General features: G+C 34.5%; 1 protein-coding gene across 15 annotated transcripts in view; it reads right to left on the bottom strand.

Moving 5' to 3' along the window:
- LRRCC1 (leucine rich repeat and coiled-coil centrosomal protein 1) overlaps positions 1-19,126 on the bottom strand; it is a 38,843-nt gene that overhangs the window by 17,711 nt on the left and 2,006 nt on the right. For 4 of the 15 annotated variants that reach the window (XM_017013921.2, XM_017013920.2, XM_017013922.2 and 1 more), the window contains exons 2-10: positions 18,570-18,775; positions 18,190-18,255; positions 15,271-15,438; positions 14,015-14,056; positions 13,095-13,270; positions 12,786-12,995; positions 4,764-4,957; positions 3,431-3,578; positions 1,533-1,681 (exon numbers count right to left, since the gene is read on the bottom strand). In XM_017013921.2, the coding sequence (XP_016869410.1) occupies positions 1,533-1,681; positions 3,431-3,578; positions 4,764-4,957; positions 12,786-12,995; positions 13,095-13,270; positions 14,015-14,056; positions 15,271-15,438; positions 18,190-18,255; positions 18,570-18,775 (1,359 nt within the window). Of the gene's footprint in view, positions 1-1,532; positions 1,682-3,430; positions 3,579-4,763; positions 4,958-12,785; positions 12,996-13,094; positions 13,271-14,014; positions 14,057-15,270; positions 15,439-18,189; positions 18,256-18,569; positions 18,776-19,126 lie in introns of those variants that run through there. The other 11 variants (XM_047422364.1, NM_033402.5, XM_047422365.1 and 8 more) reach the window with 6 other exon arrangements.

The following is a 19,126-nucleotide window of genomic DNA, read 5'->3' as shown; positions in this document are numbered from 1 at the left end:
TGAATACATAACTTGGGAAACACGGGCACAACAATAGGTTAAGTAAGAAGAAAGATAAAGTGTGCCCAAAGTCTTCCAGTTTAAATGGACTTTGGCTAGCAGCCCTAGACACAGCGTCCTCTAATATCCCACTAAATACCTAGAATACAGAATAAAGTAAAAATTCATACACATATAACTGAAAACAAAGGATAAGAGAATGCCAAAATTTGGGAATAATTTCAATTACAAGGCAAATGGAACTAAATTGAAATTAAAAACAACTCCTACAACACTCAGGCTTTGCCTCATGAAACTGCTCCATTCTGAAAAAAGGAAGACATATCTTTTCTCTTCTACTATCTGTCCATGACTCAGTCACAAGATCTCTATAAATCTGTCACTACATAATGTTGGTTACTCATGCACTTACTGAAAGCAGGAGTGCTGTTTTTCTGAGGTAGTCAGAGCACTCTTAATTGAGACATCCTGTTCCCTCATCCATACCCAGTAGCTTCTTGTGTCAATTCAGACAGACATTTATAAAACACAAATAAGGCAGGAAGTTGGTGGGTAGTGGTAGAAGGGCTAGTGATAACATAACGCATCACAGCTTTATAATTATAGAGGTTCTCATAGCATGCATGTTGCGTATTAGAATTGTCCTTATACTCCACAGGTACAACCTATCAGAGAAACATGCAGTGGGGTAGAAAACACCACGTCAGTATCACAAAAGTGCCTAAAAGAAATCGGGAACTGGGCTGTGAACTGTGTACATCAACTTATCCAAATCAGATTTTAGAAGGGGAATTATCCACTGCACAATCAGACAAGAAATGGAACCAAGAGCAACTTCCCAAAGTGTGTTAGCAAATGTCAAGTCTAAAAACCTAGTGCTCATTCAAGGGTAAGAAACCATAAGAAACTCTAAACATGTTATAATCATTTGAGGAAAAGCATGACGTTAGAAATAATTACAGGAAACAGAAGAAAAAAAGTTATTGTAATTTAAAAAACTGGTATTTTCACAGAATGAAATGACAGACCTGTATTAAAGAATGCAATACAACAAAACAAAACAAAACAAAAAACCCAGATAAAATGGGAGACGTAATGGTGAGGATAGAATAAAAACATCAGAATTAAGAAACTGGGCTATATGATACAAAAGCCCATTGCAGAAGATAAGTATGTGATGAGATCAAATATGACCCATGAAGCTTAAAGAAAAAGGCTGCCAATGCCTGCCCTTTACAGAATCTGGCACTTTACATAAAGTTTGTTAATCACTGCTCTAGTCTCTTGCTGTTCTTTACTTATAATATTTATCTGACACCTTCCTGCTTGAGGGCTCAAATACATGTACCTGAATTTCTTGTTGATATAACAAGCTAATAAAGTGCTAAATTGTCTAATAAAATTAGTTCAAATCAAACTAAAACCACATACATTGTTGTTGATTGAACCACACTGAAACTAATGTATTCCAGTTCTAAAGTCAGTATTGTTTATGCTATGAGGTATCTTCAGGTTTATTAATTTCTTTTTACCTATCTGTGGTAAGTAGAGCCAGACTATGAATATCCTCTTTTTCATTTGCATGTTTATGCAGCTCATCAATATAATCCATGAGTTTATTTTCGGCTTGCTCAGCTCTCCATCTCTTCTCTCTCTCTTGGTCTAGCTGTTCAACAAGGGACTGAAAGAAAACAACAAAGTTATGTGAACTTAGAAAAGTTACCTAACTTCTCACAGCCTCAATTTTCCCATTTATAACAGGGGAATAATAGTACCTACTTCAAAGAGCTACAGTGAAACTTTTTATTTTATTTTTTTGAGTCTCACTCTGCCACCCAGGCTGGAGTGGAGTGGCATGATCTCAGCTCACTGCAAACTCCACCTCCTGGATTCCAGCAATTCTTCTGCCTCAGCTTTCCGAGTAGATGGGACTACAGGCATGTGCCACCAAGCTTGGCTGTTTTTTTGTATTTTTAGTAGAGATGGGGTTTCACCACGTTGGCCAGGCTGGTCTCGAACTCCTGACCTCAAGTGATCCACCCACCTCGGCCTCCCAAAGTGTTGGGATTACAGGTGTGAGCCACTGCGCCGGGCCAAAAATTATGTTACTGGTAGCAAAGCATGTAGGTAAGTGCAGAACAGTGCCTGCTACATAATAACCAATCAATAAATGTTAGCTGCTATTATTATGCCATAGTAGATAAGATTCCTTTTTTGAAATAGTATATACTCATAGCATGGCACCCACATGCCAGACTCTGTATTAAGGAAACAGAGTCCTTACCAAGGCACGCAAGGGAATATAAAGATTGGTAAGGATCTAATCTCGAACAAACTTGGGGCGGGGGTTGAATCAGAAAAGATTGATTTTTCATGAGAAAAATGAATATGTAACTTGGGAAACACAGGCACAATAGGTTAAGTAAGAAGAAAGATGAAGTGTGTCCAAAGTCATAATGATAATTATTATTTTTCAATATTAAAGCCTCTATAGTTGAGAATAAGGGGAGGAAACCAGTAGCCTAAAATGTACCAATTCTATTATTGAAAGAACAATACACAAGTAATATAAGGGGAAGTTAATGAAAAATATAAAATAATGAAACCACAAGTACTGAAGTTTCTCAACATGAGAAATGTTAAGCAAATTTTAAAGAATTAAAACATTTTTGAACACCTCTTTTTTTTTTTTTTTTTTTGACGGAGTCTCGCTCTGTCGCCCAGGCTGGAGTGCAGTGGCGGGATCTCGGCTCACTGCAAGCTCCGCCTCCCGGGTTCACGCCATTCTCCTGCCTCAGCCTCCCAAGTAGCTGGGACTACAGGCGCCCGCCACTACGCCCGGCTAATTTTTTGTATTTTTAGTAGAGACGGGGTTTCACCATTTTAGCCGGGATGGTCTCGATCTCCTGACCTCGTGATCCGCCCGCCTCGGCCTCCCAAAGTGCTGGGATTACAGGCGTGAGCCACCGCGCCCGGCCTTGAACACCTCTTAATCTGGGATCCAGTGGTCCAAAATTGAGTTTCAGGAAAGTCCATGAAAACCTTGAAATATATACATTTTTTTGAGTGTAAAAATAGGCTTCTTTGAGAAGACCTGTAAATTTTTTTAGATACTGAAAAGGGTCTGACACCCAAAAAAAGTAGGAAGCACTACCTTAAGGAATAAGAATTAAAAAATTCATAACTGTTTCTTCCTCCAGAAGCATGTAACAAATGATTTCACTTAAATCTGATCATAAAAAAATGTAATTTTCATTCGTTCAAAAATAACATTACATAAAATCTGGAAATCAGGAAGGAAAAAATAACCCATTTTCATCACTCCAATAAAATTCAAACACTTTTTGCTAATAAAAGCATGCATAATTTTTCTGGGACTCTGTATTTAAAATTATTCATACTCATTTTTTCTTTAACTCTTAAATCATACCTGGTAAGTGTTGTCTTCTGAGTGACTTTGGTCTACTTTAATTATTTCAGTCTTTGGCTTTTCTGATTCTTGTAACATAGGACAGTTTGCTAAAGATGAGCTTACATATAATTCTTTAAGGTAAGGTGGTTTCATTTTACGATTACAACTGTAAAGAATGAAACATAGAAAATAACTCAAAAAAGTAGTGTTCACATTACTTTTCTCTAAATTAACATTTCTAGTTGTATATGCAAACAGCTTTTTAAAAAGAATATTAATAAAATTATAGTAACTTGGACAAACTGCTTCATAAATTTTATAATGGGTGTGCTCTGTTGATTAATGAGTGCCTTAAGATTTTAAAAAAGATAATGATTTCATAAATGTTCAGGGTTCAACATTTTCAGGTAGGGTAGAATTCTTGGATATATCAGAATAATTTAAAAAGTACTGTGGTAAGATGATACCCAAGAACTTGAAAAGACAGTAAATAGAACTACTCTTTGAGAGTTAAAAGTTTAAAATCGACATACAATGGATCAAAGTTAATAGATTCTATCACTTGGTAGGACCAAAGAAATTCCAGGGTATGTCCTGGAAAAAAGTACAGTGTTTGAAGTGAACTGAATGCCTCTGTGTGTGTGGGTATATATACATGTAAAATGTAATTGGGTAGGTATGGAAGAATTAATCAACAACAAAACAACAAAATATGCTTTGCAAAAGGAGAATTACAGAGGCAAAAGTTTACTGTAACCATCCCAGAGTAGTCATTTCTGAACCACTTGTCATGGTGATCCCAATTATGAAAGTACAGATATTGGTCTCCCTTGTCCTTATGGCATTAAACACAATCATCTTATTCACATTTAATCCTAAACTCAGTATCATCTGACTAGGATTTGACTTTCCATCTAGATCTGCCTACAAAGAGAGAAAAGGCTAGTCATGTAGACTCAGGTGTACTAGTCTTATTTCCCACTGTAAATGAATGCAGTGGAATTTGAACTAATGTTATTAGTTCAAATTAAACTAAAACCACATACATTGTTTTTGATTGAACTAAACCTAGATTAAACTAAGGTATTCCAGTTCTAAAGTCAGTATTCTTTATAGTATGAGATATCTTCAGGTTTATACATTAATTTTGCAACTTAGGTACAGACACAGAGAAAAGGATCCTTTTATATACATTTACATGAATGTACTGACCAGATCAGAACCTGCAAGGCTGAAAAATCAAATCTTCAACATTAGTAAAGTAACAAATATCACCAAGAGATAGCTTCAAGAGAGAAGCCAGCATTATTAACTTCTGTGTGCCTTAAATTTCTAAAACTAAAACAAGTACCTTACAAAAGAGTTGTAGTTTTTATTGTGGTGCTTAATAGTTTGAATGGTTTTGGCATCATAAGGGATTTTTGATCTTCGAGGAACTTTTCTATTGCATTCTTTTCTGTTTCCATAGTCACTTTCAGAAGTTATATCTGTGTCTCTTTTTGGTCTGGGGTCTTTCTCAAGAACGTTATCTATTGAATTAGAAGTCTAAAATTTAAAAAGCCAACAAAATTTGTTAAAAGTTCAGTATAAAAAAGATTGAAATTGGAAATCTTCTGAAATATTATATCTTTTTATATGATTAAGGGTTTATAAACTAGAAATGTTTGATATTAAAGACAGGGAATTCAGCTTCTGGTATGGACAAGCAAGCTTCTACCATGTTGACTTTCCTGCAGATAATTATAAACTCTGGAAAAAATACAAACAAAACAAAAATAAAAACTACTTGAAGGCCTTATAAAGTGAACAAAACTAGGATTATCCTAGAGGGGAGCTGACACTTGGAAAATGGACCAGAATGAGAGTGTTTCTGTTTTTTTATGGTTTTTAGCCTGAGAATGTATCACAATCAGCATCATGCAGAGAGTCTAAACCTCAGGTAGGAAAAACCAGACTTCTGGGCCTGAAGAACCAGAGGGCAGTATGAAGTGGACTGCAAGTGGCCCAGCAAAGAACAAAATAAATGAAATGAACTTTGAACTGCTACCTAAGAGAAAAACATACAATCTGAGTCAAACCAAGTTAAATGCTTACTAAAACAAAAATGTCAACACTCTTTGAAGGACTATAACCAAATCTAGAGTATCTACAACGAAACATTCACAATGTCCAGGACGTACTTCAAAATTGCTTGCCGTAGGAAGAACAAGGAAAATGACCTATTCTCAAGAGAAAATGGACACCAAACCTGAGATGACTCAAACGTTTGAATAAGCAAACAAGAACTTTAAAATAGCGATCCAATAGTGATGTTCAATGAGATAATAAGAAATACACCTGTCATAAATGAAAAAACAAGAAAACTCAGCTCAGAAATAGAACTAAAAATAGAAATTCTATAACTGAAAAATACAATGTCTGAAGTAGAAACTGACTGAGATTAATAGTAGAGTGAGGCAATAAAGAAAGAGTACATGAAGCTGAACCTAGTTCAATGGAAGTTATTTGATATGAAGAATACAGAAAAACAAACATTGACAAAATGTACAGAGCCTCAGTGAATTTTGAGACAATATCAAAAAGTCTACATGGAATCTGAAAAAGAGAAGAGAGAATGGAGCAGAAGAAATATTGGAAGAAATTTCCCAAATTAGGTGAAAACATAAAATTACAGATTAAGGAAGCATAGAGAAACCCCAAGCAGGATAAATACAAAGAAAACCATCCTTAGGCACAATGCAGTCAAACTGCTGTAAACAAAGAGAGACAAATTCTTGACAGTAGCCAAAGAAAAATGGCATATTACATACAAGAAATCAAGGATTTTGAATTCATGTTAACTTTGCAATCAAAACTATGGAGGCCAGGCACAGTACTGAAAGAAAAAAAAATTGTCAATTGAGAATTCTACATTCAGTGAAAAAGTCCATTAAGAATAAAGGTGAAACAGACTAGTATCCACAGATGTAACGCTACAACATTTGCTAAAGGAAGTTCAGGCTGGAAGTCTTGGCTGAAGGAATATAACACCAGATGGAAATTTGAATCCTCAAGAAGAAATAAAGAGCATCACAAGTTGATTTATATACAGATAAATACAAATAATGTTTAAACATTTTACTTGAAGTGATACAGTATTAACTCTAAGTAGACTGTTTCAAGTCTTTTTTTAGAGCATCCAGACCAAAACAAAACCTAGAGAATTGTGACTAAAAAACCAACATATGAATTAAAACTGAATTCTATCCCACCACTTCGGGAAGCCAAGGCAGGTGGATCACCTGAGCTTGGGAGTTCAAGACCAACCTGACCAACATGGAGAAACCCCATCTCTACTAAAAATACAAAATTAGCTGGGCGTGGTGGCACATGCTTATAATCCCTGCTACTCAGGATGCTGAGGCAGGAGAATTGCTTGAACCCAGAAGGTGGAGGTTGCGGTGAGCTGAGATCACGCCATTGCATTCCAGCCTGGGCAACAAGAATGAAACTCCGTCTCAAAAAACAAAACAAAACAAAACAAAACAAAACAAAAAACAAAACAAAAAAAACTGAATTCTAAAAATTATCCAACAGAAAGTAGGAAAGGAAGAAAAATGAATATAAAAGAGACAAACAGAAAACAAATAACAATAAAATGGTAGACCCTAATCCAACTTCATTAATAATTACAGTAAATTTTAACAGACTCTTCAAAAGAAGTGATGGCCAGATGGGATTTAAAAACAAGACTCACTTTTCTTCTGTCCACAAGACCCATTTAAATATAAAGACACAAACAGGTTAAAAGTAAATGGATGCCAGGATGAGATATGCCTTTACACCCACTAGGATGGCTACAATGAAAATGACATATAAGAACAAGATAGCAAGGATGTGGAAAAACTGAACCTTCATATACTGCTGCTGAAGATGTAAAATGGCGCAGTTACTTTGGAAAGTCTGGCAGTTGCTCCAAAGGTTAAACATATGACCCAGCAATTCTACTTCTGGGGATATAGCCAAGAGAAATGAAAATCTATGTCCACACAAAAACTTATACATAAATATTCATAGAAATATCATAATAACCAAAAGTAGAGGCTACTCAGATGTCTATCAACTGACAAAAGGATAAATAAAATGTGGTATATCCATACAATGGAATAATTATTTGGTAATAAAAAGAAATGAAGTATTGATATATGCTACAATATGGATGAACCTTGAAAATATTATGCTAAGTGAAAGAAGCTAGTCACAAAAGGCTAAATATTATGATTTCATTTATATGAAATGTTCAAAATAGGCAAATCCATAGAGAAAGAAAATAGATTTGTGGTTGCTTAGGGTTGAGGGTGGAGGTAGAAGGAAATGAGTAATGACTGCTAATAGGTACCACTGAATTGCACACTTCAAATGGGTGAACCACATGGTAAGTGAATAATGTATCTCAATAAGGCTGTTAGATAAAGAGGAACATTTCATGATGATAAAAGAGTAACTTCATCCGAAAGACCAAGCAGTCATAAATGTGTATGTGCTTAATAACAGAGCTTCAAACATAAGAAGCAAATAAAGAACTAAAGTGAGAAACACAAATCCACAACCACAGAGATTTCAACACTTCTTCATGCCACAATTGATAGAACTAGATCAACCCCCCCACCTCTACAAACAAAAAACCAAGCATCAGCAACTGATAGAACAGACACAAAAAAATGAGTAAAGACATGGTTCACCTGAAAATACTATGAATCATCCTGACTTAATTGTAGAATACACATTCTTTTTAAGAGCACAATGAATATCCACCTAGAAAAACCATATGCCAGGCTATAAAAAAAAACTCAATAAATTTAAAAAGACAGAAATTATTCAGAATATGTTCTCTGAACAAAATGGAAGTAAATCAGAAATCAAGGACCAATAACATATCTACAGAATGACAAATGGTTTAAAAATTAATAAAAGACATTTCTAAATATTTCTTGGATCAAGGAAGAAATCACAAAGGAAATTAGAAAAGTATTTCTAACTGTACAATAGCAAAAGCAAAACATACCAAAATTTGTGGAATGTAGCTAAAGCAGTGCTCAGAGGAATGTTTACGGCTTTAAAAGGTTACATTAGGAGATATGTCTAAAATCGATGACCTAAGTACTTATATTAAGACGTTACAGCTGGGGGCCGTGCCTCATGCCTGTAATCCCAGCACTTTGGAAGGCAGAGGCAGGAGGATCGCTTGAGGCCAAGAGTTCGAGACCAGCCTGGGCAACACGGTGAAAGAAACCCTGTCTCTACTGAAATTACAAAAATTAGCCGGGTGTGGTAGCACATGCCTGTAATCCCAGCTATTCGGGAGGCTGAGGCAGAAGAATCGCTTGAACCCAGGAGCCATGGAGGTTGTAGTGAGCTGATATTAGGCCACTGTACTCCAGCTTGGGTGACAGAGCAAGACTGTATTAAAAAAAAAAAAAAAGTGCTAGAAAACAAACAGCAAAGTAAATTCACGGTAGAGGGGAAAAATAAAAACCAGAAATCAAGAACACAGAAAACAAATATTAATCAAATTAACAAAGCCAAAAGTCTATTCTCTGAAAAGATCATCAAAACCCCTTGCTAAACTGATCAAGGCAAACAAATAAAAATAGAGAAAACACAGATTGCCAATATCAGTAATGAAAGAGATTTTCATTATAGATCCTATAGAAATTAAAAGTATAATAAGGGAATATTAACAATTTTATGCTGATAATGAGATGAAATGGACAAATTAACTGAAAAATACAGCTTACCCAAACTGACAAAGAAAAAAAGAACCCAGAGCTAGATTTTACAGTTTGTAAGTTGATTTGATTTTTTTTTTCAAGAAATTCATTAAAGAAATTTAGTGAAAAGAAGAGCCTTTTCTACAAATGGTACTGAGATAACTGAAAATCCATATGGAAAAGAGTGAACCATATATGTATACAGATCTAAATGCAAAAGGTAAAACCATTAAAACTTTTAGAGGCTAACACAGGAGAATGTTATTTTGGTATGCACAAAAGTTTTTAAAGTTGCAGAAAACAATGACCATGAAAGGGAAAAAAATGATAAATTGGACTTTATCAAAATTAAACACTATTGCTTATCAAAAGACCAGTAAGGAAATGAATATGAGATCCACAAACAGGGAGAAAATATTCACACTAGATATATTTGACAAAATACTGGTGTCTAGCATATACAACAAATTCCTACAACCTGGATAAACAACCCAATTTAAAAATGGGCAAAAATTTTGAACAGGCATTCATAGAAGATAAATAAATATTCAATAAACACATGAAAAACTGTCCAACATAACCAATCATTAGTGAAATGCAGATTAAAATCACAACAAACATCAGGATACTCCCACTAGAATGACTAAAATAAAAGCAATGCTAACCTCACCAAATATTGGTGAGGTGGCAGAAAAACTGGAACAGCCATACATTGTTAGTGGGAATAAAATAGAATAACCACTTTGAAAAAAGGTATCAATTTCTTATAAAACTCAACATACATCTACCCTATAACCCAGAAACTGCACTTATAGCTGTTTAGTGAAGAGAAACAAAGATACATGTTTACAAAAAGATTATACAGTAATATTCATTGCAGCTCTACTCATAAACCTCTAATAACCCAGGTTATAAGCTAGGTTAAAACCTTCAACAAGACAATGGAAAAATAAAGTGTAATATATTCATAGAATGGCATACTACATAGAAATAAGAACTACTGATATACATAATAGCATGGATTAATTTTTACAAGGTTATGCTCAGTGAAAGAAGCCCTACACAAAAGAGTATACACTGAATGATTCTATTTATATTAGGTTCTAAAACAAATATTAAATAATATATGGTAGACAAAAAATAAGAAAAGTGATTGCCTCTGGAGGCAGTGGAGGACTGCTTGTCAGAGAGGCCATAAGGGAACATGATAATGTTAACCTTCACAGAAATTTGGATAACAGATATATGTATTCTCAATTCAGGAAATATGCAGACCTGTATTTCACATTAAAGAAAACACCTAAAAAATATTTAACTCTAATTAATGATATGCATGCTTAGTATTTAGGAAGAAATGTATTGATGTGTGTAATTTACTTTGAAATGTGTCATAAGATAGTTTGATACACGAATAGATAGCTACATGACAAAATAAATGTAGTAAAATGTTAAGGGTAGAATCTGGTTGGTGGATATACTGATGTTCACTAAGAAATTCTTTCAAGTTTGCTGAAGAATAAAAATGCTCATAATAGAATGTTGGAGAAAAACTAAAATAAAGGCAAAACAGCTTTTCACAGACATAAAATTTCCCAGTTCGGCAGGGTTAATTATGATTTTAAGTCCCATGATTAAGGAAAATAAATGTCTTTATTATAGTACAGCACATTGCAGTAATATTATGACTTTATAAATTGATACTCGAGATGAAATCATTTGAGTGTACGAACAGCTCAATGAAATTCAAACTCCATGTTTACTCTTTACCCCAAGTAAGACAGTGAACAAGAAGTCATTTTCTTAAACATTTTAAATATACATAGCAGTGAATCACCTTTCTTTCCAGATAGCTAGACTCCTGTTTTTGGTTAACAAAGTAGAAAGAACTAGCACCATAAGTGAGAAGCATGACATAGTTGAAGAATTTGATTGGACATAAGGAGCTATATGAATTTGGAGCTCAACTATCTTGCAAATAAAGTACTTTTAAATAAATGATTTAAACTCTGGATCTTCTTTTCAATAACAAGGACAATAATATATTAATCTCTATCTACTTGATTGGGCTGTCATGAGAATAAAATGAGATCAGCCTATGAGAAACTGAAATGTTCACTTCAAATTAAAGACATTAAACTTCAATCTAAGTTTTCACTGGTAGAAGAGTCAGCCATTAGAAAAGATGAAAAGATGAAACCTGAGGAAATGGAGGAGTCCAAAAGTCCAGCCATACAGTATCAATGATGTCAAATAATATGTAGGCCAGCATTCTTGTCTCACTTCTATTACTATCTCCTTATTGGCTCAAACTGAAATCTCTATGGATTTCTGAAACACAGAATCCTCACAGCCTTATTGACTTTCACTCACCTAAGGCAGACCTCTTGTTTATCCAGCATTATTAATATTATGTTATATAAATAATAGTTCAGGATTAAAAACCTCCTGAACCATAACCATTTCATAAGCATTTTCCACTCCTTCCCCCTTCCTAATTTGCGAAAAAATTTTGACTAAGAAAATTTAGTTATAGAGGTTGGGCGTGGTGGCTCTTGCCTGTAATCTCACTATTTTAGGAGGCTGAGGTGGGAGGATCACTTGAAGCCAGGAGTTTGAGAAAGCCTGGGTAACAAAGCGAGACCCAGTCTCCACACAAAGAATTTAAAAATTAGCTAGGCACAGTGGCATGTGCCTGTAGTCCCAGCTACGCAGGAGGCTGAGGTGGGAAGATTCTTGGGCTCAGGAATTCGAGGCTGCAGTGAGCTATGTTCATGCCACCATACTCCAGCCTGGATGACAGAGTAAGACCCTGACTCTAAAAAAAAAAAATTAGTAACAATAACTTAGTTAAAAATTTTTAAGTTGAACTAACATATGACTAATAGCCTCTTTGAACTATACCACTATCTTTCTATCCTACACCCAGCTAGAAGGCAAATAAAGTAATAATCTATTGCAGTCAGATAGTAGTGGTACCCAAGAGAACCACTGCCACTGTGGATGATAGTGAGAATGCTGGAGTGAGGGTTGGAGACCTGAATAGCAGTAAATTCTAGGAATTGTAGTTCATACACATAGTTCACAGATTCTAAAAACTAGAGATTCAGTAGCAGGGTAAAGAAGGATTAACAGCTCAGGAAAGTATAGATTGATTAGGTGATGGTCTACTAGAAAATGAAATTGATACAGGAACTATGTAAATTAACCTGCCATTTAGCTATAAGTTGTAGAAGTGATTTTGACCATTAAACCACTGAAGAGATAGTAGAGGCCAAAGTATTCCTTTGCGTTAAGTAACACTGAGTCCAAAGAGTTTCTCCCTTGCTTACGGTGGAAATAAAAGTTGGGTGTAATAGAAGTAATGTAAAGTACTGCAGAACAAGACAAAGAAATTACATAATGAAGATGTAAAGGAAGACAAGTAAAGTGAGTGAAAAATTTATGTTACCTTTTACTACCATTATGCAATAATAGAACCCTATTTCTGTAGAGGAAAACAAAAATACACGAACACTGATGCACTAAAATAGGTTGGTCAGCTAGTACATAATTTTTATTTTACATTTTCTTAACTATGTTTTCTTCAATAAACATGTCTATAGAGAAGTAGGAAAAATAGTTACTTCATTTAGAAGTTGTAGAATTTGGTCATCTAATTTCTGAAGTTTTATCTCATTCTGCAAATCGTTTTCATGATTATTTTTCTCTGGCTCAGAAGATTGACACACAGACATAAAAGACGTCAACACAGCATCACTTGGTGTACTTGCAAACTGTTCCAAGGGAACTAACTCATCGATAGGTGCTGTTATCACTGGCATTCTATCAATGATCTATGACACAGAAACAAACCAAAATCCTTTTAATTTATATTCACTTATTGAAATTTGAAGGTATTTTTTATATTAGGAAAAAAAAAGTAAATACTATACCTCATCTTCACTTATATTTAGGGGAGAATCAGAAGAAACTAAATTATCCAAAAGACCTTCTAGGCACTGCAGCTGTGATGAATTTATTTCTGTCAAATTTACTGGTTCACCAAATATGTTCTTGCAATCTAGGATTCTAAGCTGTGGCAAAGTCTGGAGAATAACTGCTCTGTACCCTTGGAAACAAATCATTCAAAATGAAAACTGAAATATTAAAAAAAGTCAATTATTTCTAGAATAAACTAAATTTATCAGCTACCAGATACATCACCCGGAATAGTTCCAGAAAGCAAATAATAAACTTGTTACTTATTCAACTTCTGCAGCATGTAATCATTAAATCCTTACATACAAAAGAAACAAAACACTTCTCCTCCACTCTCCATCCCTCTCAAATAACCCTCCTGATGAAGTTCAAAAAGTTAAAATAACTATCTCTAAAAAATTACTTTAAATATATAATGCATAAAACTAGTAGAAATTTATTCTAGGAAGGAAGCTAAACATGTCTTTTATTTTTTAATATGGTTAATATAAACAACATAAATGAACTTAAAGCAGGATGATGTGGATAATGACCAAAATGCCAGAATTTCCCTAGCGAGGTCTCAGCATTAGCAGAATATCCCTTCTTCCCTTTTAAATTACACATAACTAATATTAAAGCAGGTGAACTATCAAGTAATCAAGAATAATATGTTTATTTTCCCTAAGAACAATCATATCTGACAAATTAACATTCATTTGGTACTAAGGCTAACAGGAGCACCTTAATCCTGTGTAAATGTAATTTTAAAACTAAGTATATTTCTAATAAAGACCAACAAAGTGGTTGGAAGAATTCCGAAAGTAAGAAAGAAGTCTGGCAAATTAGTATTAGAAATCTTGAGGGAAGAAAAGTCATTTCAGCAATAAGTTACCTCTCAATTCTGAAGGGAGGGTGACTGTATTGAGAGAAGTACCTAATTTAGGAAAAAAAGTGAAAAACAAAGATTCAAATTGTAGAAACCAGAGGTTCTTGAGATAAGATTATTAAAAAAAAAAAATCCAACTTGAGGGTTTAGCAGAGAAAAGAAAAATGCAAGGCTTTAGAAATATGGTTTTCTTTCAAGGAAAGGGTTTCCTCAGAAAACTTTCAAATCTGTCCTGATTTTCAGGGAGACTATGGAAAAGAATAGGAAATATTTTCCACCTCAGGAAAACAATTATCAAATGTATCAGATTTTCTTCAGTGAAATAAAATTACCAACACAGGTTTCCATGCTGCAAAAAGCCTTCTTATAGTTGCATATGAATAATAAAATGAAGCCTCTGTAGCTAACTTGTACTCAAGCTGATCTTTAGAATGTATATTCACATTCTACACATTTCTCTTATTGTTTGGTTAAGCAATATGAGATAAGTGAGTTCTAGAAATGGTAGTCTGGTCTGCTTTATCTTTGTCAACTTGATTGATTCCCAATTAGCTCAAATAGCATTTCAGCAGCACCAGCATCTCTATATATTAAACTTTCTTAAAACAAAATCATTTATTAATAATGTAATAAATTCACATAATATGAAATTCGAAAGGAACATAGTAAAAAATTTTCTCATTTCTTAATCTCCAGTTACCTAGTTCCCTTTCCTTGAGTTAGCTAACATTATACATTTTTTTAAAGTGTATATTCTTCTAGATGTTTTATGTATATACTGAGCACACACACACATGCGTGCATACATATATATGTATGTACGTAAATGTTTGTGTATGTGTGTTACCCTTTTCACACAAATGGTGGCCTACTGTGTGCAGTACTTTGCAACCTGCTTTTCTTCCTCTTAATGTATCTTGGACATAATTGTCCATTAGTAGAAAAAGAGATTCTATATTCTTTCCTGTGGCTGCATAGTATTATACTATTATTAAAAGAATATACTATAATGATATAATTTTGAGGCATTCACTTATCAAATATGAAACTGCCTAAATAGGAGCATCACTGAACTGTTCATCTTGTGTTCTGTAACAGTCATTAGTCTTAATACACTAATTTTATTTGTAACCATGTTTTCCCCAATATAGAAAATGTTGCAAAGCTGAAGACTAAAATGAGGTCACGAATGCCAATTTCAGGAAAATAAAGAAGCTCTCAATATTAACTGTTAGAAAAAATATTAAATTAATTATTCATACCTGGCAGTCGACAGACAGGATTATCGTCTCCATCTTTCTCCAAAATAAGATTGGTCAGGAAGTGCAATCCTACCATACACTGAAGTAAGTGATGGATACTATCTATACGATTACTATGTAGATCAATATATCTAAGTTTATGCTTAATTCCATGAAGGGGAATCAATCCTGCAATAGGAACATAATTCTTTAAATGCCACAGCAATAGTCTTTCCAATAGCTAATTAGAAATAATTGCTAGATAGGTTATACTTTTAGAGGCAAACGGGCAGCATTAGATCTTGCTGTGAACAGCTATATCTAATGAATAGGCTATCAGTAAAGTTAATTGTTGCTTTGAAGAAACAGAAGTTTAACATTTCTTTGAGGCTTTAGTCCCTGAGGTTCCTGGGCTCTGGTTCTCTTCAAAAGAAAATGAATCAAAAGAACTTCCCCAGGTGGATGCACACACTCATATGAGAAAAAGGATAAAGCAATGGCTTTAGGCTCTCTCGACACATCAGTCTTGATTAGCAGACATAAGCAAACTCTGTAGTACACTTCAATTTTGCTGGTTTGAATATAAAATAAATACATTAGCATTCATTTAATTCCCTGGTAATATTTCTCGCACAAGCTTATCTAGAACATTTTGTAGCAGTAGCTATTTCTGCCTGGCCCACCTTGGACTTCAGCTGCAGCTGTCATGGACAAGTACTAATTGTACAATGCCAGTGTACCCTTCAAGCACTTACAGCTTCTCTTCCTGCCTCAGAACTTTCTCCAAAATGGAAAAATCATATAAAAAGCTATGTAATCATACGAACGTTCATGTACAGGTCTTTGAGTGGCCACATTTTAATTTCTCTTTGGTAAATACCTAAGAGTCAGACTGCACAATTATATTTAAGTGTTATGTTTATCATTATAACAAACTGTCAAACTCAGCCAGGCACAGTGATAGCCAGTACAGGCTCAAGACTGTAATCTCAGCACTTTGGGAGGATGAGGTGGGCAGATCACTTGAGGCCAGGAGTTCAAGACCAGCCTGGCCACCATGGCAAAACCCCGTCTCTACTAAAAATACAAAAAATTAGGTGGGCATGGTGGAACACGCCTGTAGTCCCAGCTACTCAGGAGGCTGACAGGAGAATCGCTGGAACCCAGGAGGCAGAGGCTGCTGTGAGCCAGGATCACACCACTGCACCCCAGAGCGAGACTTTACCTCAAATTAAAAAAAAAAAAAAACAAAACTCCTTCCCAAAGTGGTTGTACCATTTTAAAACTACCAACAATGTATGCGAGTTTCAACTGCTTCACAATCTCACCAGCACTGTCACTATTTTAGCTATTCTAGGTGTGAAACGGTATCCCATTGTGGTTTTAATTTGCATTTCATTAAATACTAAGGATTCCAACCAATTTTTTTTCATGGTTTATTTGCCATTTATATATATTCTTGGTGAAGTGTCTGTTCAAATCTTTTGCTGATTTTTTGGGGGTTGTTTTTCTTCCCCACTATAATGTAAGCCCTGTGACTTATCTTACCTATTGTTAGTTTTTTCATCACTATAAGACACTGTTCCATATAGTGATCTTCATAAATACATACTGAGAGAATTAACTATCTTATCCATTCACATTTTTTAGATAAGGAAATTGCATCTAAACAGTAAACACCTTGCTAAACATTACATAGTAATGACAAGGCCAGGGTTGAAACTCAGTTCCTTTTGTTGTTTTGAGATGGAGTTTCATTCTTGTTGCCCAGGCTGGAGTGCAATGCTGCGATCTCAGCTCACTGCAACCTCTGCCTCCTGGGTTCAGGTGATTCTCCCCTCTCAGCCTCCTGAGTAGCTGGGATTACAGGCATGTGCCACCATGTCCGGCTAATCTTGTATTTTTAGTAGAGACGGGGTTTCTCCATGTTGGTCAGGCTGGTTTTGAACTCCCTATCTCAGGTGATCCGCCTGCCTTGGCCTCTCAAAGTGCTGGGATTACAGGCGTGAGACACCACACCCGGCAAAAACAAACTCAGTTCTAATACTTCATGTCTTTAAGAGGAAAAAAGGTTTTAAAAAATTGAAATACAGTTGTTACTTCAGCTTAAGGGTACAGACTAGGTCTTTTTATTTTTTGTATACTAAGCAACTGGCATAGGGTAGTGTTCTTTTAGTGGGGGAGAAGAGTCGACAAATGAATCAGATTGTTTCAAATATTGATAAGGATTATGAAGATATTAGAGGAATTCTGCGAGTTTTAACAGATAATTCTAGGAATAGTCATGAAACTTTGTTCAACTTATCAGCTACATCACTTTAATCAATTAAAAAAGGCAACACTTTTAAAATCTCCTTAGCTATATTACAGATAAAAAGAAAATCTCATTTTATTTGTTCCTTAACTTGCAACAACCTTTGGAATGCAGCATATTGTCACTGTTCAACATGGCAGTAGCCATTAGCTACATGCGGCTTTTTATTTTCAAATTAAAATTAAATAAAATTACAAACTCAGTCCTTAAGTTGCACTAGCTACATTTCAAGTGCTCAATAACCACATTTGGCTACTGGCTGCCATATTGAACAGCACAGATTAGAACATTTTTACCACTGTGGAAAGTTCTATTGGAACTATTCTTCTCTATATAACAGTACATTGATTAATTGGCTAAAATTAAAACATATTCCCTTCAACTGGATCCTTTCCAATTAAGTTTTTCCTGCTACTGATTACCTTGGTTTTAACTTCTATTTTGTACTCAGCTGTGGTTTTGGTACCAACAAAATAGAATCATGACTGGAATACGCTCTCTAGATGAGCTCTTTGGCTAAAAATTAGATTAATATTCAGAGATTTCCAACATGTTTAGCTGAGCTGTTAACTTATCACATGTGGCACAACATTTAGCATACAGAAAACATAAGCATTTCTACTTACCACTAAGATCATCTATGTGGTTATAAGATACATTTAGTCTAGTCAGATTAATTAGTTCTTCAAGTCCTAAAAAAAAAAAGTAAAATAAAATAAAGCCTTTATAAAATTTAAATAATTAATTACAGAGATATAGCATTACAATGTTATTTCAGACTGTTCTGAAGTAAATCCAGTCTGGTAACAGCGAAATCAATTTTATTGGCATTTAGAAAAAACAGAATTTTTAAAAAATTGACACTTTTTTGGAGAAAATATTTTGTATAATGAGTTTCAGACTCAATTTTTAAGAGTTTCTGATATTTATTCCATTCTTTTGGGGAAAAAAATGGACCTAAATCATTTTCCTTACGCTAAGTGTTAAATGAAAATCACTTACAAACCTTCTACTTTTGTAATCAAATTGCAGGACAAATTTAATGTGCACAGTTTTGTCAGTGTGTTTAGTCCTTCAATTCTACTTATTTGATTAGATGACAGATCTAGATGTTGTAAATTCCAAATATGATCAATGGCTTCGATCTTGGAGATGTTATTGCAATGAAGATTGACGGCATGAAGAGTTGAATCTAAAGATAATTCTGATATGCTATAAAAGAAAATATATACTATAAAAATAGATTTTAAAAGCATGACCAAATAACTAAAATTAACCAAACAGCACGTAGATACTAAATATGTGCTCTATTCATTCTAGAATGAAATCTTTCCTATTTGTGGTACCTTTGAAATGTCTCACAAAACACGGTGCTTCTTACAACACAACCAAGTATTTTGGATTATTTATACAAACAAGAAACCGCTCAAGGCAGGCAAGTGACAGTGGGCATTTCTAACTCCTGTGTGCAGTCATCAGCATATATTGAAGGCAGTGCTGAATAGTAGTCAATAACTGTAAAGGCTTTGGAATGTTAATATCCCAGTTTGAATCTGCATTCTA

Source organism: Homo sapiens, chromosome 8 (assembly GCF_000001405.40).
Source record: "Homo sapiens chromosome 8, GRCh38.p14 Primary Assembly".
NCBI classification, from domain to species: Eukaryota; Metazoa; Chordata; class Mammalia; order Primates; family Hominidae; genus Homo; species Homo sapiens.
The sequence above is the reverse complement of the archived record's forward strand: the minus strand, read 5'-3'. Positions and strand labels throughout refer to the sequence as shown.